This window comes from Homo sapiens, chromosome 4, assembly GCF_000001405.40.
Source record: "Homo sapiens chromosome 4, GRCh38.p14 Primary Assembly".
Lineage (NCBI taxonomy): Eukaryota > Metazoa > Chordata > Mammalia > Primates > Hominidae > Homo > Homo sapiens.
Window position 1 is genome coordinate 102,597,372 of NC_000004.12, and position 25,379 is coordinate 102,622,750.

At 41.7% G+C, this 25,379-nt stretch overlaps 1 protein-coding gene and 1 long non-coding RNA gene across 15 annotated transcripts in view, besides 1 other annotated feature; one reads left to right on the forward strand and one right to left on the reverse strand.

Annotated features, from left to right (window-relative positions):
- NFKB1 (nuclear factor kappa B subunit 1) overlaps positions 1-19,931 on the forward strand; it is a 115,944-nt gene extending 96,013 nt beyond the window's left edge. For all 12 annotated transcript variants that reach the window (NM_001382626.1, XM_024454069.2, NM_001382627.1 and 9 more), the window contains 10 exons: positions 149-290; positions 3,524-3,638; positions 9,125-9,326; positions 9,779-9,948; positions 10,278-10,380; positions 13,204-13,328; positions 14,673-14,739; positions 15,063-15,235; positions 16,054-16,210; positions 19,063-19,931. In NM_001382626.1, the coding sequence (NP_001369555.1) occupies positions 149-290; positions 3,524-3,638; positions 9,125-9,326; positions 9,779-9,948; positions 10,278-10,380; positions 13,204-13,328; positions 14,673-14,739; positions 15,063-15,235; positions 16,054-16,210; positions 19,063-19,223 (1,415 nt within the window). In that variant the 3' untranslated portion in view covers positions 19,224-19,931. The remainder of the gene's footprint in view (positions 1-148; positions 291-3,523; positions 3,639-9,124; positions 9,327-9,778; positions 9,949-10,277; positions 10,381-13,203; positions 13,329-14,672; positions 14,740-15,062; positions 15,236-16,053; positions 16,211-19,062) is intronic.
- On the reverse strand, positions 284-23,731 carry LOC105377347 (uncharacterized). Of its 3 annotated transcripts, none has more exons than XR_001741780.2 (3): positions 5,469-5,615; positions 4,563-4,660; positions 284-2,364 (listed from the first exon to the last, which is right to left on the reverse strand). It is a non-coding gene; the product is annotated as an uncharacterized LOC105377347 (long non-coding RNA). The 3 variants fall into 3 exon arrangements; XR_939026.4 differs by lacking the exon at positions 284-2,364 and adding an exon at positions 16,517-17,600 and having other exon boundaries at positions 4,274-4,660; positions 5,469-5,563; XR_007058205.1 differs by lacking the exons at positions 284-2,364; positions 4,563-4,660 and adding an exon at positions 23,670-23,731 and having other exon boundaries at positions 5,144-5,563.
- Positions 3,260-4,459: an enhancer, noted in NCBI's record as "CDK7 strongly-dependent group 2 enhancer chr4:103521788-103522987 (GRCh37/hg19 assembly coordinates)". NCBI's record gives its function as "activates an origin of replication core promoter dependent on BRD2, BRD4, P300/CBP, MED14 and CDK7 cofactors, with strong dependence on CDK7, by STARR-seq in HCT116 cells {active_cell/tissue: HCT116}" and the evidence as "EXISTENCE:reporter gene assay evidence [ECO:0000049][PMID:35650434]".
- Positions 23,732-25,379: the final 1,648 nt, after the last annotated feature.

Sequence of the window (25,379 nt, forward strand, 5' to 3'; positions counted from 1 at the left end):
AATCCAAAAGCATTGAAAGAACATTTTCAACTAAAATGATATGTCAAGGTGTCAGAACACTGATGCTGGTCAGTTTGTCCTTAAGCATGCCATACCCATAAAACAAAAGTAGGAACACTCAACTATGATTGTGGTCATTGCCTTACAGATAACCTCTTTCTAGAGAAGGCTATGCAGCTTGCAAAGAGGCATGCCAATGCCCTTTTCGACTACGCGGTGACAGGAGACGTGAAGATGCTGCTGGCCGTCCAGCGCCATCTCACTGCTGTGCAGGATGAGAATGGGGACAGGTAAGTCAGAACTTTTGCATGATAGGTTGTCCTGGGTGGGGAAGAAGAAGAGCATCGTATAATGCATACTGACTAGAGATAAAAATAATTGTTCAAATATATTGAGTCCTCTAACTGGAATGATGAAGAAAAATAATGTGTGAATAAGGTTAAGTAGCACAATTTGCTGCTCCATCCTGCTGCTGTCATCTGTTGGAATCTGTAGTAGCTGGAGGACTCATCTAAGAGTGAATCTCTCTGGGCAAGAAAACTAAGATGTGTGTAGGTAATGGTACTTTTTGAAAAGCCTTGCTTTGTTTATTGAAGTAATATTTGGAGAATTGTTAAGAGTCCTACCAAATCCCTGAAGCATTGTTATCCCAGCTGCATATTTATGACAGTGTACTCAAGAAAAAGCCCAATAAAGGCAGCAACAACAACAGAAAGATTAAGAGGGACTGGTCATTATTTCCCAGTTACTGGTTTCTTCTCTGCTCCCTCTTCTGATGGTCATCAGTCTATGACTGTTTCAGACTTTTGTGACTGCTCCAGCCCATATGTGGGAGTGGAACATTCCAAACACCATGCCTTCCATTCTTGCTATTACTGAGATTGTATTTGCAAAGCCACCTGGCTTCTTTCTAAAACAGTTCTCTTAGTCCTTTCATTGAGACTTCTAAAATGATCTCAAAAGCCTATAAAAATAACAAGAGACAGCAGCCTTCACATTCAAGTCAAGTGCCTTATCTAAAACCTTCCTAAAATAGCATCAACATAGAGAAATCCTTTTCTGTGGAAGAGCTCTTGAGTGCTGTGTTTTAGACTTCAGTTTAAAAATTAAACCAAGCACTTTAGGAAAGTAACAACCTCAGGGTTTCAAGCAGAGACACCTTTGTTCTCATTCCTTGCAACGTAACCAAGGATGTGGTATAACCACTGGCCTTGTTATACAGTATGAGAGGAACCAGTACAACCTTCTTGGTATAAAGCCATGAACAGCAGAATTCTTTTTCAGGGTTAAATAATCCAGTTAGCATTCAGTAGCATACAACCACAAGAAAAAGCAGTTAACCAAGACAGTACAGCAGTGTTTCAAGTGGCATTTCCAGGGACCTGTTAAATTGATAAGTCTAAGAAGATGAGCACATACAGGTTAGAAAGGAAGTGCTGATATCTGAAGGGAGGATTGTTGGAAGGGATACAAGGCGAGGCACATGCAAGTTCCCTCCTAAGACCCAAGCACACTCACACAAGCCGGCTCTCAGAGAGGCCACAGATTTGGGACTTGGAGAGACCAGAGGATCCTCATAAGAGCATAGGTATAGGGCAGCTTTTGGCCATCACAGCCCAAGTCTCTTGTTTTAATTCAGCTCGTCATATTTGGCTAATAGTTTAAATCCTGTGGCCATTAGTCATCATAGAAAATATAATAAAGAAAAATATATAAAACTTCTGCTATTGGGGAAATTCCCATAAGGGTGTGAGGATTTGAGGGGGAGGGGGAATGTACTTCTGCTATGAAATGCTGAGCGGCACATGGAAATTTTCGAGCAGTTTTAGAAGTATGACCTTTTTCTTGGTGTATGTGCATCATGTCTATGTCAGAGTTTAGGCCCTTTTCAGAAGTCTTCTTCCAGTATCACATTTCAAGAAGCAATAGTGAAACCCTGAGATCATCCGTTTTAAAATATTTCTCAAGTAGCAAAATCACAATTTAGTTTTTTAGGCTCTTCTGTGCCGGAGTTAATCCCAAGTACGATATACTTGCTATTGCTAAGGAAGAGGCTTGAGTAAAGTGGCACCTGATAGCTTATTTTAGAGAAGATCCAGCCTGTACCTCGTGTCCCAGATGTAGTGCTGCTGCGAGATGCTTTAGTGTGCTCTGCACCTCAATCTGTCCATGCTCTGGAGTGGTCATCTTCTTAGACATTCATCTGAATGTCTTTAGAACAGTGCACATGTATCCCCTATGCAGGATTGCTTAAGGGATTAAGAGATGGCTTTGGAGTAAGACAGGCCTGGGCTTGAATCCCAGCTTCACCACGTATTGGCCTTGACTGAGTTATATGACGCCTGCAAGTCTCAGTTTCATTAGCTGAAAAGTGAAGATAATATTACCTAACTCATAGGATTATTGTTATAGTAAAAAGACAATATATATCAAATGCTTAGCATAGTCTGGTAAATCAAAGCTCCCAACAAATAGTAGCCACTGGTAAAATGATTGTTATTGTTATTGTTTTGAATTTTAATAGTATGTTTTTTAATAATTAAAAGAATTACGCTCCTGTGAGTGACTTTGACACCACCAGTATGTTCAGCCTCATTAGCGTAAGCTCTTAAGTTCCTTCTATCATTCTTATTTTTGTGCCTCTACTGCATGCTAGGGTTGTAAGGCTGACTCAGACAGAACCTGCCCCAGAGATGACAGGACAGAGAACGAGAAAAATGTGTAGAAAACTGCAGTTGCATAACCAAGCAGTAAATTTGAGAGGGACAACTTGCTCCACCTAGGAGGTTAGGAAAGTATTCTCTGAGGATGTCAGGTTTGAACTGGAATATAAAGGATGGAGTAGGCATTGTTCAGGCAGAAGAAAGGAGCAAAAACATTCCAGGCAGAGGGAATATTTGCTGGAATGTTTGCAGGAGTGGTGGGAAATACAATCACTTTGTTTCTTCACAAGTTTACTGCAAGAATTTTCTTCCAGTAGTTAAAAGCTTCACTCCATTCTCCACTCTTGGGATCTGGAAAGATCTTTAAAAAACCACCACACTGTATTTTGGAGGAGGGCAGCAGGGCTAAGTGAGGTAACTAAGTTTTTCTGAACAATTCCTAGTGCCAGGCATTCATTTTACATAGAATCTGTGTGTCAGGAAAAGTCAGGGGGAAAGGTAGAGAAGAAAACCGCCCAAAGCCATGGTATAGAGGCAGGATTGGGATTTAAGCTTAGGTCTTTCTGGGCTGGAAGCCTCAGTGTGTTTATACATCAAGGGGTCAAGACCTGAATGCTCCCAGAGGCCAGGAAGGTACCACAAATAACGTAGCAGCCTTGGGTAGGCAGTTGGGAGGGACCAGTCCTCTGGAGACAGCATCCCACCTCAGATTCAATGCATTTTATAGATTCAAAACATTTTAGGGCCAAATAAAACTAGGTATGAGAGCAGATTCCATTCTTGAGTCTAATCACATCTTGGGAATCTTTTCTTTTTCATTAACATTTTAGTTAATTATTGCCACTGTGTTTTCATTCCAGTGTCTTACACTTAGCAATCATCCACCTTCATTCTCAACTTGTGAGGGATCTACTAGAAGTCACATCTGGTTTGATTTCTGATGACATTATCAACATGAGAAATGATCTGTACCAGGTAAGCAGAAATCTCAAGAAAACAACTGAAGAAAAATCTGTAGTTTACTTTTTCTTCTGTTATGTTTGGGTGCATGTTATTTTTAGTAATGTTAACAGTAGCAAAAACAAAAACAAACCTTTGTAGGTAATATCTAAAATCCCATTAGTTGAGAATGTTACTTTATGATGTAGGATCCTTTGATCTGTGGGTATAACAGCCATCAAGCCACAATGAAATTCAGCATCCCGCTGGGGGAAGGCAAACTTTAAACTTTAGAAATCAAACAGTTTTTTCATTTAAGAGGGAGAAACTAAAGTAAAAATGTCACATCTGTCAAGAAAAATAAAGTTAAAAAAAGTTTGAAAAGCCAGTAATTTATAATAATTTTGAAGTCTACTGAAACATACCTTGACAACATCCAGATTAAATGTATATCAAATGAAGCATTCTGAAATCACCACACAGAAAGGTTAAAAGTTTGCTTGAGGAGGAAAAGGTGTCTTTCAAAAGCAGAAAGACAGCTCCAAGTGAGGAAAAGTGGGAACACCAGAGTTTTGCCCAAATCAGGTTTTCTTAGGAATTAATTAGGTGGGCTGAAAATACAAGTTGAGGAACTGTTTTTTCCAGAGGTCTTCCAACACTGCAAAGGGAGAGTTAGCTGGAGACACAGCGAGGCCCTTTGATGGGCATATGCAGAATTCAGGGAGAGGCAAGGAGCCTGGGAGCCACTTCGGCAGAAGCAGAGCTTGGACGTTGGTGATGGGAGCCCAGTGACCCCAGCCAGCCTTTCTGGCTGAGCGACTGCACTGGCATGAAACCAAGATGGGGTTCGGCTCCTGAGGTTTCCTCCTTCCTGCCCCTGATTGCTTTTCCCACCTCACTGTCTTTCCCCTACTCCCACCAGTCTGCTGTATGGGGCTCCTGCCCTTGCCCACTTCTTACCTTTCCATTTGTCTCCTTCCCTTCATCGACCCGAAGCATCTTCCTCATCCTCCTTGGAGAGATGGTTTGCTGGTTCACGTGTATCTCTCACTCCAAAACTATGGCCAAAATCCTGTGTAATTATTTACTTAGTAAAGATATTTGTTCCTGCTCTCTCAGTTTTTATAGCAGTGATGTGAATCATTTCTATTTCCTCACTTTAAAGGAAAATGCTTTTATTATTTTAAAGAAAATTAATTAAAACTTCATTTTCTTTAAAGGAAATTAAAATATCTATTTTCTTATTTTTATTTCCATTCTTTAAAATGTGCTTTAGGCTGGGTGCGGTGGCTCACACCTATAATCCCAGCACTTTGGGAGGCCGAGGCAGGCGGATCATGAGATCAGGAGATCGAGATCATCCTGGCTAACATGGTGAAACCCCGTCTCTACTAGAAATACAAAAAAAAAAAAAAAATTAGCCAGGCATGGTGGCAGGCGCCTGTAGTCCCAGCTACTCGGGAGGCTGAGGCAGGAGAATGGTGTGAACCTGGAGGCTGAGCTTGCAATGAGGCGAGATCGCGCCACTGCACTCCAGCCTGGGTGACAGAGTGACGCTCTGTCTCAAAAAAAAAAAAAAAAGTGTGCTTTAAAGTGCATTTAAAGCAAAACTACTAAAACGTTTACATGTGGCTCTTAATAGTTTTTACCTGTGACTAGGTAAAAATTAATAGGTTTCCTGATAGGGGAAAATGACCATTTTTCATTCAATATAAGTCACCATTAGGCTTCTTCACTGGCTCTTGTGCTTCTTGTCAAAGGAAAAGTAAAGTTAGTGACTCTTCACTGCCTGTTAATATAAAATAACTAGTATGAAGTGTGATTGTAGATTTACATTTAAAGGATGTCTTCTTGAAACTTTCATACCGTTTTGGGGTCATTGGTATCCGTAAGGTCATTTTGCCTGTAAAGCTTGATTCTCGCAGACTTTTGGCTGATTGTTCCTTGTAGTCATCACAAATCTATGAATAAAACCAGGAATGGGACATTGTAGCTTGTCAGTCCTCTTTTCAAACCCTGCTTAACAGTCATATTCAAGGAATTACTTATTTTATGTTTATAAATAGGATCTGCAAAGGACACAGCACAACAGGATTAGTAGCTGTGATTTTTTTTTGGAGACAGAGTCTCACTCTGTCACCCAGACTGGAATGCAGTGGCGCGATCTCGGCTCACTGCAACCTCCACCTCCCAGGTTCAAGCGATTCTTCTGCCTCAGCCTCCTGAGTAGCTGGGATTACAGGCGTGCACCACCACACCCAGCTAATTTTTGTATTTTTAGTAGAGATGGGGTTTCACCATGTTGGTCTGGCTGGTCTTGAACTCCTGATCTCGTAATCTGCCAGCCTCGGCCTCCCAAAGTGCTGGGATTACAGGCATGAGCCACTGCGTCTGGCCAGTAGCTATGATTTTTTTTTTATATCCTAAACTCTTTACTGTATCATTTGGTTACATATGTTGAGACTCTCCAGTGTGTTAGAGACAAAAACCCTGAAACCGCCACCATTGATACTTCTATCCCTTCTGATTTGGGGACTCTCAGAAGACTATACGTCCATTTTTCCCCTACCTTACCACCAGTCTGATTAATGGGCAGTGATTCTGGCTTCCCTAGTATGCCTTCTAGGTGTCAAACACACACCCAATGGCAACTTTGATTTGAGAATTAGAAACTGCTAAGATTTGAACTCTTGATTATCTGTTGTAAAGGTTCTCTAGTAACTATTCTTAATGGAAAATGATACAGTTCTCTAAATAATTTGGATTATTTGACAGTTAAGCATTCTTCCCAAATACCTTTCACTAATCTAAGTACATTTCTGTGACCATCTGTCATGATCAAATTCCTCTCCCCACCCACCCTCTAGAAACACACTCAAAATAGTCCAAGTGCACCGAGTTAGGATTTTTTATGAAAATATTCTCTTTAAGCCTTTTTCTCCTTTCATTCTCCTTCCCCCAACATAGACAACCACTCTATCGTGTTTGGTATGGATTGTTTTATTTGTGTATGTTCCCATAAAACATTATTGGAGGGTTTTATGTATTTTTATGTTTTTAATTATTATACATATCATGTATATTCATAGTTTTAAAAATGGTACAGAAGAATCTACATTGGAAAGTCAAAGTTGCCCACCCTGACAATGCCCAGGTCTGCTAGCACAAATGTCACTATTGTGTTTATAGGTAGTTTTTCAAGTACTGGATACAAATGTACGTATACTTGAAATACATAGATATTTTCATATACTCTCACATACAATCCACATTATATTAAATGTACTTCTCTTGCCTTGCATTAACCTTTAAAATTTTTTTAATTTAATTTAATTATAGATTCAAAGGAGGTTACAAAAACGTACTAGGAAGTCCTAGTATTTACTGCAAGGAAACCAGAGGTCTCTTCACCCAGTTTCCCCCAATGGTAACATCCTGCATAACCTCAGAACAGTGTCAAAACCTGGAAATAGACGTTGATACAATCCACAGATCTTAATCAGATTTCACCAGTTTTACACACACTTGTGTGTATCTGTATAGTTCTTTGTGCATATATTTTTTAAATGCCTAAGTGGCATTGTGCTACATGTTACTGTATTTCTGCCTTCACTGCTTATCCACACAGTTCTACATATAGCTAGTTTGTTGTTTCAGCTCCTGAAGAGAATCTAGTATGGGTCTTTCACCTATAACATCCTTGTTTCCTAGTAGTAGACATTTAACCAACTTCTAACTTCCTACCTCAGTAGATAATACTGCAGTGACTGTCCTCACTTATGTCCTCTTGTGGATTTGTGTCAGAATTTCACCCAGATACATCTGCAAGAGTTGGGTTGCTGGGACATTTGTATATTTGGCTTTCCAGAATGTCTGTGTAAGTCCCCATGCCCACAGCCATAGCATGAAGGTATAATTGTTTAAGATATAATCCTTGGATTTAAGAACTAGAAGGTTTATATCATGGAAAACCATTGATTGGACTGTGGAAGAAAATATTAAAAAAAAAAAACCTCTCCGACTCATAAGATATTTTTTAATTAAATTCAAGCTACAGATAATTTATAATTCCTGAATGGTATACTATCTTATAATTTCAGATCCTTTTTTCACAATCTCATTCTCTTTCCTTTTCCCATCTCCCCAAGTAGCATTTCAGAAAACACAGATTAGTAAACACAGTTTCCATTGACTTATTTTTGAGAAGAAGGCTCTTGGCAACAATATCTAAAGTTTTGAGGACATCACTTCATTTCAGGCCAGGTTGATAGTCCTAGAAAATGAAAGAAATAAGGGCAAGTAATAATTTGGCAAAAAAAAAGGGTCTTGTATAGTAAATAATCACTGTAGTTGAGATTTAGACTACCCTCCCATCATTCATCCTGCCAGTTATCATGTGCTGTGGTCACCTACACAGCTAGGAGGTTGGTGGCTCACCTGCTGCTGTAGCCAGTAACTGCTCAATGAAAAGGGAATTTTAGGCAAATTGTCACAAGACTGGCTGGATGTCATAGTTAGGCTCCTGTGAAATAAACTGATTTGTATAAAGATACATTGCTGTTCTCTGTCAGTGAACTCAGTTATTTGAAAGATACGTTTGTGATTGTATTTGTCTTACTCATTTTTGAAAACACACAGTTTGCAAAACATCTTATTTGCATTCACCGAAGTAATACCTTGTGGGCAGGATAGTCAAATGGACTATTTAAGTACCTATTAGGTATCAGCAGCTCACCTTTTTTATTCAGCTGAGCCCCCTTGGTGAGATACTTGTATTATCCTGGTTATGTTATTTAGAATCTTATAATACCTTTTATGAAATGGGTGTAGGAAAGCTATATTGACTGGTCTCAGGAGCCAGTCCATGGGACAGTATTTTTTAATTTAGTAAATTTAGTTTCCATGTCAGCATAGAATCATGGCACTTTTGTTAATTGGTTTCTATTGAGTACTTTATTTAAATTTCTTCAGTGAAAACATAGCCTTAATTTGATTTGTTAATATAAAATTATCAGCTGGAGGTAACTCCTACCAGATATTTAAGAAAACTAAATTTACTACTAGGTGTGCTCAAAATCAACAATCAGTGGGTTGTAGTGAGAAACAAGAAGCTATTAAGACTTGTAAATATGAAAATAACCCACCACAGAAAAAATTGTAAGTATATGAAGTGATGGATTTGTAACTTAGCCTGATTTAATCATTTTATGTTGTAAACTTAGATTAAAACATCACATTGTACCTCATAAATATATACAATTACTATTTGTCAATTAAATTTAAGATAAATAAGAATTTTAAAACATGAATTATTGAATGGCTAAGTGTTAGTACAGTATATGTACTTCATTAGCATATAGTATGGAACAGGATAACTTGGGTGCCAAGGTCAGAAGTTAATCTGGGAATGAGAAATATTCCTGCAGTATGGCCCCACCTATTGCAGTAACAGCTACCAAGCTGTGAGTTGTAAGTAAGTATTCACTGCTGACCAGTGAATCTCCTGCCCTTTCACTTTCCAGACGCCCTTGCACTTGGCAGTGATCACTAAGCAGGAAGATGTGGTGGAGGATTTGCTGAGGGCTGGGGCCGACCTGAGCCTTCTGGACCGCTTGGGTAACTCTGTTTTGCACCTAGCTGCCAAAGAAGGACATGATAAAGTTCTCAGTATCTTACTCAAGCACAAAAAGGCAGCACTACTTCTTGACCACCCCAACGGGGACGGTAAGAGACAATCACACATCATTGGTGTAACTTTCTCCACCTTCTAAATATCTACTAGGTATTTGATAAACGTGTGTTATTTGATTTGCACCCAAAAGTGCTTTCCTTAGTCACCTGGAGTTCATCATCTCTTTTGGGCATTTCTGTTGCTCACCAAAGCTAATTTTTTTAAAGATGATTTGGAATAGTTAGTAGGAGGAGAAAGCAGAGGCCTGAGTAAAGATTCATCTTGAAGTACACAAAGCGTCGTTTATTCAGAGAATGTTTATTTATGTTCATGTCTCCTGAGAACATAATAGGAGACTGTGGGTCTTCAAAGCAGAACAATAGACTTATAGTATCTTTACTGTCCCTCCCCATGATTCAGTTTTTGCCATTTCCTTCAGCTTCACAAGGGCCATCTTGTGAGTTAGCCATCCCATCCTGTGACTGTCCCTTTGCTTGGACTCTAGGTCTGAATGCCATTCATCTAGCCATGATGAGCAATAGCCTGCCATGTTTGCTGCTGCTGGTGGCCGCTGGGGCTGACGTCAATGCTCAGGAGCAGAAGTCCGGGCGCACAGCACTGCACCTGGCTGTGGAGCACGACAACATCTCATTGGCAGGCTGCCTGCTCCTGGAGGTGAAGGGCACACTTATTTGCTTTTGCATTAAATTTCTGAGGGAGATTTAAGGAAATCTTTTCAAAGAAGGAAGTCAGTAGCTGCTGTTCTCCCTTACAATCAGCTCTATTTGTTTAACATTTATGGAGGGCTTCAGAGTACCACCTTTAGACATTCCCCCAACCCCCTTGCTTGGCATCTCTAACTGGGGATTTCTTCAATGACAGAGCCAGCCCAAAGTAGCAATTGGGCTAGTAATAGGACCCAAGGAGCCATGCACACTGGGAGGTGGGGACAAAAGGGCAAAAGAACCTTCCACTAACGCTTTCTTGTGTGGGCTGGATTGTAGGGTGATGCCCATGTGGACAGTACTACCTACGATGGAACCACACCCCTGCATATAGCAGCTGGGAGAGGGTCCACCAGGCTGGCAGCTCTTCTCAAAGCAGCAGGTAAGATGGTGATCTGGCGGTCATTAATGAAAAATGTTACCAGGAATGCAAACCCAACTTCAATAGAGCAGTCATGTTGCCTTCTTTAAGCCACAGACCTACTGCTGAAAAACAAGGGTAAATAAAAATTATATGGCAAATCACATTTTATCTGCCATAAGGCACTGTTTGGACTAGTAATCTTGGGCTTTACCCTGATAGTCATTTTAGTTTTTACTTTCTGATTCATCTGTTTGTTTGGGGTTTGATTGTTTAGATTGACTCCCATGACAAAGGGTCTTTTCAAAGTAGAGTTTGATTCCTTATAGAATTCTGAGTGGTATTAGTCTCAGATCATATCAGAAGGCCCCAGAAGAAAAAGATTATTGGTATAAGAAATCATTTAAAGACTTCATTTTGAAAGAAATATCTCTTAGAAATTGAAGTGTAGGAAAAAGAAAATGGGCCATGTATTAAGACCCATTATGTGGAAGGCACTAAAAATGGCTAGCACTTATTGACCTTTCTGTGTACCAGGCACTGTGATATGCACTTTATGTGCACAGTCTCATTTAATGCCCAATCACCCCTTGTGACAAATACCATTATTCCCCATCTTAGAGTCAAGGAAACAGACTAGAGAGACTACCAGATCCCACTTCAGGGTTCCAGTAAGTGACAGAGCTATGAATCACACTTCGGCAGTGTGAACTTCAAGACTTTATTCTCTGTACTATGTTTCTCTCTCCTATTTTGCTCATAGGTTTGCAGATGTTATTCCATTTAATTCTCTAGTCCTGTGAAGTATAGAAAATTATCCATGCTGATCTTTGAATCTCCAGTGCCTTGCATATTTAGAACCTCAAAATATGTGTAATGAAATTGGCATCTGAAGCCTGCCCTGACATATCTGATATACTTTAGAGGCTTTTTTTTTTTTTAACTTAAAAGGTAAATGCTTCATAAATTCAAGAAAACAAAGCAAAAGACATAGGAACTTTTTCTTTGGGACACCATATTTTTCTTTTCTCTTTTGTTAAATAGAACTTTTTCTTGAACAAGAAACTCTGATTGCAGTGGGTATTAATAGTTTTAGAAGACACTGATTAATTAAATGCCTTCCAACAAGAAGCTATAACCAGCCAGACGTGATGGCTCACACCTGTAAACTCAGCACTTTGAGAGGCTGAGGTGGGAGGGTCACTTGCACTAGGAGTGTGAGACCAACCAGGTTAACATTGTAAGACCTCATCTCCATTAAAAAATTTAAAAAGTAGCCAGGCATGGTGGCATGCGCCTATAGTCGCAGCTAGTTTGGAGGCCGAGGTAGAAGTATCACTTGAGCCTGTGAGTTCAAGGGTGCAGTGAGCTACAGTTTCACCACTGCACTCCAGCCTGAGCTATAGAATAAGAATAAGACCCTGTCTCAAAAAAAAAAAAGAAAAAGAAAGAAACTATAACCCTTTTAAAAATGCTTTATATTGAATTCTCAGAATCCCATGAAAGGAAAAGCAAGTAACAGTTTCTCTGATATATAAATGAAGAAACTCAGATGAAAAACCAAGTCCTAATCTTAATGTCGTGGAAAAGGTCAGTTAAGTCCGAGTGTGGTGGCTCACACCTGTAATCCCAGCACTTTGGGAGGCCAGGGTGGGTGGATCACCTGAGACTGGCAGTTCGAGACTCACCTGGCCAACATGACGAAACCCCATCTCTACTAAAAATACAAAACTTAGCTGGGCGTGGTGGCATGCATCTGTAATCCCAGCTACTCAGAAGGCTAAGGAAGGAGAATAACTTGAGCCCTGGAGGCTGAGGTTGCAGTGAGCTGAGACTGCGCCATTGCACTCCAGCCTGGGCAACAGAGCAAGACTCCATCTCAAAAAAAAAAAAAAAAAAAAAAAGCGTCAGTTAAGAGATAGCTCATCCCTCCACACTTTGGTCCTGTAAATTGTTCATCTTAATTTCTCCATGGATTACATTTATTGCCTCATAGATCAGGCCAGAACTGGGAGAATAAAATCAAGAAACAGCATGAAGATCCTTCTTTGTTTCCCATTAAGTACTCCTCTATTATTGATATTGACCCATCTGATGTTCTCCCAGCAAGATAAAAACAAGTTCCTCCCTCAAAAATGGCATCATTAGACATCAAGCTAAACACTCATAAAAATCATCTAAGCCTCTGAGAAGTAACTCTAGCTCTAGTCTTTGAGTTACTTTGATGTTTTGTTTATTTGTTTGTTGTTTTTGTTTTTGCTGGATGCTAAAGAGCAGACTACATTTCCCAAAATATTTCAATAATTATACATCCTAGTAGGTTTGTTTATTTAAAGATCAGAACCCTGGCATTGCTGTACCCAGCAATGAAACTGGCCATGCTGTCACTAGACATCAAGCATCTTTGCTCTTTTGAGTGTCCAAGAAAAGGGGCTGAGAAATACACATTGTCATGCATAAATTTGAACAGTTAGGACCCTAATCCTGAGGGTGCACCCTAGTGGCTGTAATCATGCTGTCCATCAGCCCTAAGATTAAAGATGCACTATTCAGTTGAGAAATATCCTGTAGAGTTAAATGTGAAAGAGTATTTGAAGTCTTTTTTTCTTCAATAGTATCTTTGGCTATTTCAGGTGTCATAAGACACTTTAACAATCAAAGTAAATTACAATTTTAAAATAATTTCTCTGGATATTCCAGTAGAAATGTTTTATGATTTAAAAATTATCCAGGAGATTGCCTCAAGCTGCTACATTGCTTTGCCTTTGGGAATCTGACCTTTGCAGGCAGTTGGAAGTTGACAAGATCTGGGTTTACCTAATGCTGTGTAATCTAACTTCGCAGGAGCAGATCCCCTGGTGGAGAACTTTGAGCCTCTCTATGACCTGGATGACTCTTGGGAAAATGCAGGAGAGGATGAAGGAGTTGTGCCTGGAACCACGCCTCTAGATATGGCCACCAGCTGGCAGGTGAGTGCCGCTCCATCTGTCTGATGGCTGCCCCTGAGGGAGTCAGAGGTTCAGGAATGTAAGAACAGATGGTCTTCCTGGTGCTTTATTCCCCAAAGAACATGCCTTTTATTTTTAAGAAAGTCTGTTTGTCAGAGACCATTTTTATCTTGAAAAACCCTATCCATGAAAGATCTAGGTCAGCTGAGTTCTGAGTACGAAAGTGTATGCCTAATCAGATCAGAGTTGAGATGTGAGAAAAGGTTAGAAGAAAAACACAAAATTCACATAAAAGTTACCCATTCCAAATTCACACCATAATTGTGACCATCTCAATTTCTGAAGCTAGGATAAATGTTACTGTTTGCTTAGGACTTAGGTAAGTGATTTCAGGATGTAAAAATAAACTAAGAATTCTTCTTAGAATTTCAATAAATATAAACAGAGTAAATAGATTTAAAGCCTTCCTCAAAACTCCACAGGGCTGAGATCTGAAGGTATAAAGCAGTTACTAGGTCATTTGGCCCCAGGAAGAAAAGCCAGAGGGAGGAGGTGGGCAGCATGCAAGATCTCCAACATGACAAGATCAGTTCTTCTAGAGACGAGAGCTGCTCCACTTCTAAAACTGCTCATGTGCCTCCCACAGCCTGTATGTGTCCAGCTCACTGACGTTAGCATGGTTCTCCCTTTATGTTAGCACCTCATTTCCCCAGAAGGCCTTGCCACAGAACACAAAAAGATGATGCACTCAGTGACCCCACGCTCTCCTTACCCAGGTCAGCCAGCAACAGAGTGACTGCAGAGAACACCACAAATGCCTCGGCAGCTACAGAATAATTTTTCTTTTAGCCTAAGACAATTCTGGACCCTCAGTTAAAATGTCAGTATTGCCAGAGGGTTAACACCAAGCCTTGTGAACATCTAGACATCTCAATTTGAGCAAGTTTATACAATTCATTCTCATAAGCTTGTTCCTATGGAAGAAGGGAGACAGCTTCACAGCTCTGAGTAAGCTCTTCACTAGCCTTAGGTCTCTGAGCAGGAGATGATTGACATGGTGGCCTGGACTGCCTGTTCCTTCCAAAAGGCTATAGCTCTGACTCTCTGCAGTTTGGTTGGGTATTCTGACCCAGCTCAGAGTTTGTGCAAAGCACTATTTCCCAGTACCAGAGCCCCTACAGCTGTTCTTCCCCCAAAGGGTACCATATTCTTGGAGGGTGGTCCTGATTCCTCTTGCCATTCCTCCATCATTAGGGTACCAGGCCCTCCTAAGGAGGACATGCTGAGTTGTTTATTATAAAGAAACAGACTGCCCTAGTGGTCCCTTCGATGTATAACGATTTCTGGTGTTTTTCTTTCCAACAGGTATTTGACATATTAAATGGGAAACCATATGAGCCAGAGTTTACATCTGATGATTTACTAGCACAAGGTGGGTTGTGATAAAACCAGATTCTCTTAACCATTATTATCTCCACACTGTCATTTAAAGGGAGGAACCAGCATTATCCAGGGTCTACTGTTAAAAGTTCTTATTTCAGAACCAAAAGATGCTGGAGGTAGATAAGGAGAATATCCAGTTTTAATCTACTGTAAATGTATACTGCCTTCTACTCAGCTGGGCTTTGACCTTCAAGTAGAGTAGCTTGGTTGGTTCCACTGGGAGTTGGACAGCAAGCCAGGCAGCAATGATCAGTCCCTCCAGAGTGTCTATGGCATGTTAGAACAAGTGTGTTCCTTCTTCATTTCCTTCAGGAGACATGAAACAGCTGGCTGAAGATGTGAAGCTGCAGCTGTATAAGTTACTAGAAATTCCTGATCCAGACAAAAACTGGGCTACTCTGGCGCAGAAATTAGGTCTGGGGATACTTAATAATGCCTTCCGGCTGAGTCCTGCTCCTTCCAAAACACTTATGGACAACTATGAGGTAACACCTTACCTTACAGATTTAGCAATTTTCATTTGACTTTACTCTGTTAACATCTCTGGCCAGGGCATAATCTCCTTCCCTTTTCCTTAACTCTGAAGAAGAAAACCAGTCATTGCCCAAGGCCTGGGAGGGTGACCCAGGCCAAGTTGGCAGCCCATCTTCCTGAGAATGCTGTTTTCAGATACCTTCAGATTTTCCCCGTTTTCAAATACCTGGAGACTTCCTGTGAAAATGCTACGTAGAGGGTCAGGATTTTCACAGAACTTTAACGGCCCTGAGCAAACAATCGACTGTAATCAACGTGTAGCTTCCTGTCCCCAAGAACACACCTTACCCCATGGCAGGGCATTGAGTCATGTTCTGTGAGGTGACTCCTAGTGGAGCCATTACCCGGGGATTTTTTTTTTTCATTTCTAAAAATAAAATGTAGAAAAGCATGGGGTGAAGTTTTCTGTTGAAAATTTCATGGTTAGCTTTTGTTTCTGCATGGATTTCAGAGCTTCAGCTTACAGAGGGAGACTGTGTAGACGTCACTGTAGGCAGAGTTTCACTGCCTCAGCGCTTCTCTCGCTGTCTCTCTCTCTGCTTACTACAAACCACTTCTCTGTGATTTCCTGAGTGGTCTTTGAGCCGAAACAGGAAACTTGATTCGAAGACTGTATTTTCTTAGTCGCTCTTCTCTGCCCTTTCCATTTCCTCCTGGCTCCTGAGTGGAGGAGGCAGCATGGAAGAGGGAAGGGTGGGCTGTCAGTGCTTACAGCCTGCACTGGGACTCGAACACAAGAACATGCTCCTCCTTCCTTTCTTTCTCACAGGTCTCTGGGGGTACAGTCAGAGAGCTGGTGGAGGCCCTGAGACAAATGGGCTACACCGAAGCAATTGAAGTGATCCAGGCAGCCTCCAGCCCAGTGAAGACCACCTCTCAGGCCCACTCGCTGCCTCTCTCGCCTGCCTCCACAAGGCAGCAAATAGGTAAAAAAAAAGACAAAAGACAGTGGAGATATTTTCCAGCTCCCCCAGGCTGGTGTCTTCAGCTCTTTTTGGATATGGTGTGGCAGTTTTCTTTCTCGTTTTCTGGATACACTTCCCTGTGTGTCTCTCTACCCCCTGGGCTCACCCTCTGCCTCTCTTGATAGTACCATTCAGATGAGGGGGTCGTACCCTTGGAAAATCACATTGACACATGAACTACTTAGTAAACACTAAATAATACAATAAATACTAAAAACAACATGATGTGGGTGATTAAATTTAACACATGAGAGAAATAATATTTACCTTAAAGAGAGAACCATCTCCTTCTTCCTTTGCCTCCTCTCTCAAGCTTATGACACTGACCTTGTCCCCCACCATATATGGGACTACGTGTCATGCCACCAAAAGTCTCGCAACCATATGAAATGGACTCTCAACCCAGCCCAGTAATCCTATATTTCCTACAATTTTATTCTCCCACTCTGTAAATGATGATTCCATGCTTTCTATTTCTAAACCCCCAACACTCCTTCCCTCCCCTTACTCATGCAACACCCTTGCTTCACACTCTGTTGAAAACAGAAGAAACCAGAACCCTCTCACCTTTGCACCAAGTGCCAGCCCACCTGTGCCTGTGCCCACATTGGCAGCCTTCCATCCGGACTTGGTGGGTTAAATTTCTTTGCCCAGCTGAGGAGCCACCTCTCCCCTGAGTCTAACCCCCTCACCTTTACTAGGTTGTTGTTCCTGTTAATTCTTACCTCTCTCTCCTGTACTAGCCGTTCCTCCTCCCCACTCTCCGACTAGGTCACCTAGCAAGCATTTCATGATTTCCTCATCTTTAAAAACAAAACACACCGAAACAATCACCCTCTTGATCCCACATCCCATTTAGCTACAGTCCAATTGCTCTATTCCCATACATAGCAGAGCTCCTTCAAAGAATTTTTTAGAGTTATTCTTTCCAGCTTGCCACCTTCCACCCTCTGCTTGGCCTCCTGCAGTTGGGATCGCATCCCCACCGCTCCACCAGGCCTGCTGTCCTCACAGTGACCGGTCACCTCCACATTGCCAGATCTGGTCACCTCCTTTTCACCTTGACCACTTGCAGAGTGTGTCATGGTTGACGCCTACCTTCAACTTCAGACCGTCTCCATTCCTGGCTCCTCCACAGCACACTCCCCTGGCTGGCTCTTCTACACTCACCTTTTAAAGTCACAGCCCTCCAGGGTCAGTCCTAAACCCTCCCTGCTTGGTACCTCACCCAAGCCCAATACTGGCTACATCTGTCAGAAGCGCTGCCATCTTCCAGGAGATTAAGACAAAACCCAAGAATTCCTCAGGAGTCCTTTCTGCCACTAATCACTTCGTATGCGACGCATCGAGTGTCATCCTGTCTGCAACCACCGCCCCAGGCCAGCCTGCCGTCATTTCCTGCCCAAATTCTTGCACGGCTCCTACTCAGTCCCCTTGTTTCCTTCCTGTCCACCTCCCTTCAGTCCATTCTCTGCCCAACAGACGGTATGATTCTTCTAAAAAATCAGTGACATTGTATTAATTCTGGGTTATGCCCTTCAGTTCATTCAGTCATTCATTCAGCAAATCCTGATCCAGCATACACTGTGTGCCTAGCAGTGTTCGAGGTTTTAAAGATAAAACTGTGTCCCTGCTTTACTCGTTTGCTTTCTTAAACATTGCTGTGGAAGCTCTTCCTCCACACTGCGCCTCCATTCCCAAGTGTTTTCTCTGCTCCCCTGGCTCACTAGTCTGACCAACCTTTTGACTGTTTCTTCCCATTCCCTGGAAAGCTCTTAATTGGCTGGCTCTTTCTTGCCACTCAGTTTCAGCACCCATCTCACCCTGCCAGGGGGCCTTCCCAGGGGAGCAAGGGCAGACGTCATTGTCCGCACTTGAGAAAGGAATAATGTATCCGCCGGAAAACAACCCAGATCTCCTGAGTCACAGCCCAGTGCTCCTTCTGCACAGATATTAAAAAAGAAAAAAAGCAAATACTTAACATTTTTTTAAAAAGTAAATACCTAAGCATTAAGCCCTTAATTTGTAGTTATTTTTAGGATATCGCATAGTTTGTAACCCATAATAGACACCAAATAAAGATTGGTTGATTAAACAAATCAGTCAATACCAAAATGATAGTCGTGCCACTGGCATTAAAGTCTTAATATTCTAATATTGGAATTTGGTACATAAGAAGATAGCATTTTGATTAGTGTATGTTAGACTTCTGTTTCCTTCCTCACTGTATAGGAAATAATTTGTCTTGGTCATATCCCTAAGGACACTTATAAACAAAGGGAATTCAACCTGATTTTCCAGTATAGACTCATTTTCACCAAAATCATTTTACTTTTATTGCTACCAAAAATGTTTTCAAGGCAATGTATGCTGTAATAGCATATGAGGCCCAGAGAGAGATCTCATTTTTAGTTCTTGCTTCTGTCACCAATTTATTTTGCTGAGGTTCAGCAGTTTCCCCAGCTATGAAATAGATAATACAGTGGTTGGAAAACTACACTTGATTTCTAAGGGAAAAAAAGGTCCACTGTGAGTCAAGAGAATTCAGAAAGGATTCTCATAAACACAAGACTAGATTGCAGGAAGATGTGAAAGCATTTGGCTAATTCTGACATTTGGCTAATAACATCCTCACAGTATGTCCCAAGTATCTTCTGCCCTTCCCACCACGGTGAGCAGTCATGACAGTGAGGGTGGCATAGGTGGGATGTGTGGCTGGCAGAAGCCAGTGGGCAAGAGTTGTCCACAGAATAGTCCATGAGCTTTTTAGAGCCCGGCCATTCCCCCAGTGAATTTGTGCTTTCTCCCCTCAGACGAGCTCCGAGACAGTGACAGTGTCTGCGACAGCGGCGTGGAGACATCCTTCCGCAAACTCAGCTTTACCGAGTCTCTGACCAGTGGTGCCTCACTGCTAACTCTCAACAAAATGCCCCATGATTATGGGCAGGAAGGACCTCTAGAAGGCAAAATTTAGCCTGCTGACAATTTCCCACACCGTGTAAACCAAAGCCCTAAAATTCCACTGCGTTGTCCACAAGACAGAAGCTGAAGTGCATCCAAAGGTGCTCAGAGAGCCGGCCCGCCTGAATCATTCTCGATTTAACTCGAGACCTTTTCAACTTGGCTTCCTTTCTTGGTTCATAAATGAATTTTAGTTTGGTTCACTTACAGATAGTATCTAGCAATCACAACACTGGCTGAGCGGATGCATCTGGGGATGAGGTTGCTTACTAAGCTTTGCCAGCTGCTGCTGGATCACAGCTGCTTTCTGTTGTCATTGCTGTTGTCCCTCTGCTACGTTCCTATTGTCATTAAAGGTATCACGGTCGCCACCTGGCATTCCTTCTGACCACAGCATCATTTTGCATTCAAATTAAGGGTTAAGAAAAGAGATATTTTAAAATGAGAGTCACTTGATGTGCCATTTTAAAAAAAAAGGCATATTGCTTTTTCTAATGTGGTTATTTCTCTGATTTGCAAAAAAAAAAAAAAAAAAAATACTTGTCAATATTTAAACATGGTTACAATCATTGCTGAAAATGGTATTTTCCCCCTTTTCTGCATTTTGCTATTGTAAATATGTTTTTTAGATCAAATACTTTAAAGGAAAAAATGTTGGATTTATAAATGCTATTTTTTATTTTACTTTTATAATAAAAGGAAAAGCAAATTGATGACCTCACCTTGTTTGATCTGTGCAAATACTTTTCTAAGATGCTTCCTTATAATCATGGGATCATTCCGTATAGCCTGGTTATCACATTCACATTGCCTATTAGAGTCAATTTTTTAATCTAGAAATGAACAAATAATTATCAAAAGGAAAGTGTTTTAACCTAAGATGAAAGCTTTGGATTTGCCTAATCCTTACCCAGCTCATCTTATTTAGATTGTGCCACCTCACTTTCCTCCATCTCATGCAATGCTACACCTCTTCAATGTCTTCTCCACACCTCTGTGATAAAGTATTAAGATTTCCATATACCAGAGGGCCCTGGACTAGGAGCCTTCCAGCATGAAGCTTTGCTGAACAACAGGTGCTGGAGAGGATGTGGAGAAACAGGAACACTTTTACACTGTTGGTGGGACTGTAAACTAGTTCAACCATTGTGGAAGTCAGTGTGGCGATTCCTCAGGGATCTAGAACTGGAAATACCATTTGACCCAGCCATCCCATTACTGGGTATATACCCAAAGGACTATAAATCATGCTGCTATAAAGACACATGCACACGTATGTTTATTGCGGCATTATTCACAATAGCAAAGACTTGGAACCAACCCAAATGTCCAACAATGATAGACTGGATTAAGAAAATGTGGCACATATACACCATGGAATGCTATGCAGCCATAAAAAATGATGAGTTCATGTCCTTTGTAGGGACATGGATGAAATTGGAAATCATTCTCAGTAAACTATCGCAAGAACAAAAAACCAAACACCGCATATTCTCACTCATAGGTGGGAATTGAACAATGAGCTCACATGGACACAGGAAGGGGAATATCACACTCTGGGGACTGTTGTGGGGTGGGGGGGGAGGGGGGAGGGATAGCATCGGGAGATATACCTAATGCTAGATGACGAGTTGGTGGGTGCAGCGCACCAGCATAGCACATGTATACGTATGTAACTAACCTGCACAATGTGCACATGTACCCTAAAACTTAAAGTATAATAAAAAAAAAAGTTGGGAATATGGAAGAGGAAAAAAAATCAGTTTTTGAGCGAGGTACTATTGTCGACATTGTGATGCACAACCAGGATTCCCCTTTGACAAAGGACTATTCTGCTGGTGGTGCACTCTAGCTGTCAGCTTTCTCATGGAATGCTGCCGGGAGCTGTGTCTTCCTAGGCCACATCCATTTCCACAATGGCACCCATGCAACATTGATCAATGTGGACATATGAATAAGCCTGTCCAACCAGGGACAACACTGAAGGGCTGTTGAAGCTTCAGGGTTCCCATTAGAGAGGCTGAGGCTGCATTGCACTCAACTTCTCCCTCTGCCCATCCTGCTTACTCTCTCACCCTTCCATAGCTGTTGAGCTTGAAGGCACTCCAGAAAAACATTTAACATAAATTTCCAACTCAGAGTCAGTCTCCCCGAGAACCTTGCCTGCACAAGGTGCTTGGAACCATGCAGAACAATTTTGCGCAACACATTGAGCCATTAATCTTGAAAAACAACCCAACTTATAAAGAAGGAAATTGAGGCTTAAAGTAGACCATAGCTAAGCTGCTTCTGAGTTTACACCCAGCTCTGTCTAGCTCCAGAGCTCATGATGGGATATTATCCTGATGAGAAGGCAGATAAAAATCATTTGAGTCCAGAAGTAGGCTCCAAAATATATAGGAATTTAGTATATGATACAGTAAAATTTCAAATCAATGAGAAAAAGATGATTACTCAATGTATTAGTCTGATAAATGCTGATAAAGACATACCCGAGACTGGGTAATTTATAAAGAAAAAGAGGTTCAATAGACTCACAATTCGACGTGTTTGGGGAGGTCTCACAATCACGGCGGAAGGTGAAAGACACATCTTACATGGCATCAGGCAAAAAGAAAATGAGAGACAAGCGAAAGGGGTTTCCCCTTACAAAACCATCAGATCTCATGAGACTTACTACTACGAGAACAGTATGGAGGAAACTGCCCTCATGATTCAATTATCTCCCACCAGGTCCCTCCCACAACACGTGGGAATTGTGGAAGCTATAATTCAAGATGAGATTTGAGTGGGGACACAGCCAAACCATATCACTCAATCAACAGAGGTCCCAACCGGCTAATCACTTAAAAACAATCCATCTGAACACCTGCCTCCCTCCTTTCATCAAAATAATTTCCAAATATATCAAAAATTAAGCCATAAAAATATTAGAAGTACTAGACGTCATTGATTGATAAATAATCTTGATATAGGGAAGGCTTTTCTAAGCAAAACTTTTCACTGGTATAAAAGCAGTTTAGGTTCTTCATTTTACAGCACCTCCCAAATAAATAGAATCTCAAGGAGAATCCTACTTATGTTTTCTATTACATTGCCATTTCTCCACCCCTACCCAGCCCCTACCCAGCCCCACTGTAAAGTGAAAAAATACAGCTCTGATTTTCCTCAATTCTTAATTTTCCAACAAGCAGCCCATGCCTCCACACCTCTGCGGGTTCCTTTCTGTGGCAGATCATTGTTTTCCAGCTGGCCACTACAAAGCCTCCTGACCTACAACATGAGGCTGACACTCCTCCCACTGAGGGGAGGGGCCTGGGTTCCTTCTCTGAGAATCTAAGCAAAAGTGACAAGGACGGAGGAGATGCTAAGTGACTTCCAAGGTTAAGTCATAAAATGGAATACAACTTCTACCCCCATCGTGCTGTGCCCTCTGTCTTAGAAGCTGGTCATTGTGTTCTGAGGGAGCCAAGTGGCCACATGGAGGAACCAAGTGCAGGTGTTCAGTCCACAGACTTACTGAGGCCCTGGCTGATGCCAGCATCAACCAAGAGATGTGTAAGGGAGTGAAGCTTTCAGAAGATTCCAGCCCTCAGCCATTGAGTCACCCCATCTAGCCCTCAAACTGCCTCAGCTGATGCCACCATCAACCAAGAGATGTGTAAGGGAGTGAAGCTTTCAGAAGATTCCAGCCCTCAGCCATTGAGTCACCCCATCTAGCCCTCAAACTGCCTCAGCTGATGCCACCATCAACCAAGAGATGTGTAAGGGAGTGAAGCTTTCAGAAGATTCCAGCCCTCAGCCATTGAGTCACCCCATCTAGCCCTCAAACTGCCTCAGCTGATGCTGCCCAGAATAGAGACAAGCTGTTCTGCAGAGCCCTGCCCACATTGCAGATTCGTGAGCAAATTAAATAATGGTTGAGGTTTTAAGCCTTAAGTGTGGAGTGGATTGTCACCATGCTCCAGGCTTCCAACTTGACAGCTCACCTACCAGAAGTTCACTTGAAGTGAAGCTGACTTGAGGAGGAGGAACAACTAAGCAACTCATGCCAAGATAGAAAAATCACATTCCCCTTCTTTCATAAGAAGCCCCATTTCTCTTCTGTCCCAAAAACTTACTCTTCCTCCCAGATCTCAGTGCTGGCCTGAACCTCTGTGTGGTGCTGCAACAGCAAGGCCACCAGTGCTGTCTGGGTCTCTGTGAAAGTATCTTTCATATTGTACCAGCAGATGGAGATAAACCAAAAGGAATGCAGGAGATCAGGTGGAAAGCTATAATGGGCCTGAAATAAACCTTCCCAGAAAGCTTGTGTCACAGCAGGAGGCCATTTAAAAATAGCTTCCTCAGAACTTCAGTCATTTTTGAGGTTTCTATACTCTGCAGGCATAACCCAGACTTTTTCAGGATCAGCGGTCTTTCTTTTCAGCAGAACGAAGCCCTGCTGCTGCTCATTTACCTATCTGCGTCTTCTGAAGTAGCTGAATGTGGCACAGACGTTCCTGGTCACCACTATGGAATGCAGCTGCACAAACTGGACTTTGTACATTTTAACAGGAAAAAAGGAGGAGGGGAAAGATCCAGCCAGCATGGAGCATTTATTACATGCCAGCCCTTTTGGATTAATAATTTCTAATGATAATTCTCAAGACACCCCTATTAGGTATATATTTAACCCCAGTTTATAAAAAGGAAATGAATGATCTGAAGTTATTAAATAACTCGCCCCAGATTCAAATGCCGGCCCATCTGATTCCAAAGACTATTCTTTAGTGAGGTTTGCAGTCCTTTGACAAAAACATGCTTTATTTAAAAGAGAAAGAAAAATGCATACAGTCCTGTACAAAGATGATGGAGTCGTCACGTACCCAACCAAAATGCAAAATGAACCCAAAGTATAACTAAGAGGACATATTGCTTGGAGACTTGATTTTCCCCCTAATAAAAGGCAAGGATGCCTTAAATATGAATTATTCATTGACTGGAAGTTATTGCATTTCTTTCAGCCTCCTATTTTGTGCTTTTGGGGGAAATTCTGTTTCTGACTTGTGCTTCCCCAGGGAATGGACATGGGAGGCACAGGAGTCAAAAGAGGATGAAACTAAAATTCTGTTTATTTTCTTGAAGATCACAGAACTTGGGGTTGGTTAAGATCTTAAAGATCACCTTCCTAAACTATCCAAGTTTTTCTGAATGCCTACAAAGTGAGAGTGTCTCTTCTCCATTGGCCTCACTGTGGCTGGCTGCTTCATGTAAATACCAATCCTAGAGACTACAAGTTCCTGTCCATTGGTTTTCCAGGTTTGTCATTTGGTTTTGGAATTGGGGGAGACACTGAGGAGAGGCTTGAAATTAAATGGATCTCCTTCAATTACCATGGATTTCATTATGTCCACAATAGCCTTTTTCTGTTACCCTGGACAAATGAATAGTTCCACAAGTTGTTCAAGCTTCTTAAGATGAAAGGGAGGAAGGGGCTGAGATAGCATCATCTTACTTCTGTCAACTAGCTTTTCCACGTTGATACCTCTTTCCAAAGTGATTATTTCATTGAACTATCACAAGAGTCTTCAAAGAATAAAGATATGTGTTCAATCAAGATTTCTTGGGCATCTGTTGCTTGCCAGGCACTACAATGGGTGGTCATGGGGAAACTGAGACACATGAGAGGCATGACTGCAGGATCACTTGACTCCAGTAACAACACTGCAGCAGGGTCAGGGGTGAGTAGTGTCTCTCTTCCACTTAGCCACACATGGATCCAGGCTGACAGTCATTCTTCCTCCAACGCTTGGCTCCTAAGGTCTTGCTAGGGGCGATAGCCCCAGTCAGCCAGGAGAAAAATGTTGAGAGAAGTATGTGAGGGAGTTTTGAATGTGTCACCTCCTCTCATGTTGTGCTGGAGAAAAACTTCAGTCCCTTGGTCACACTAAGAGCAGTGAAGATAGAAGGGTGGTCTACTTCTGTTCCCAGTATTAAGAGAGCTGTTGATTTTGGAACAGGTCACAGCCTTTGGCACAGGTAATAATCCCTTCACTGAGGGAGGCTGAGCCATAAGGTTCTTTCTAGTTGCAACTTGTATGCAGATATTCACTCTGAAAGTCACCTGCAATCATGGTAAATGGCCATCACTAAAGGCAAGATCATTTCGTAGGATTAAGCATGAAGA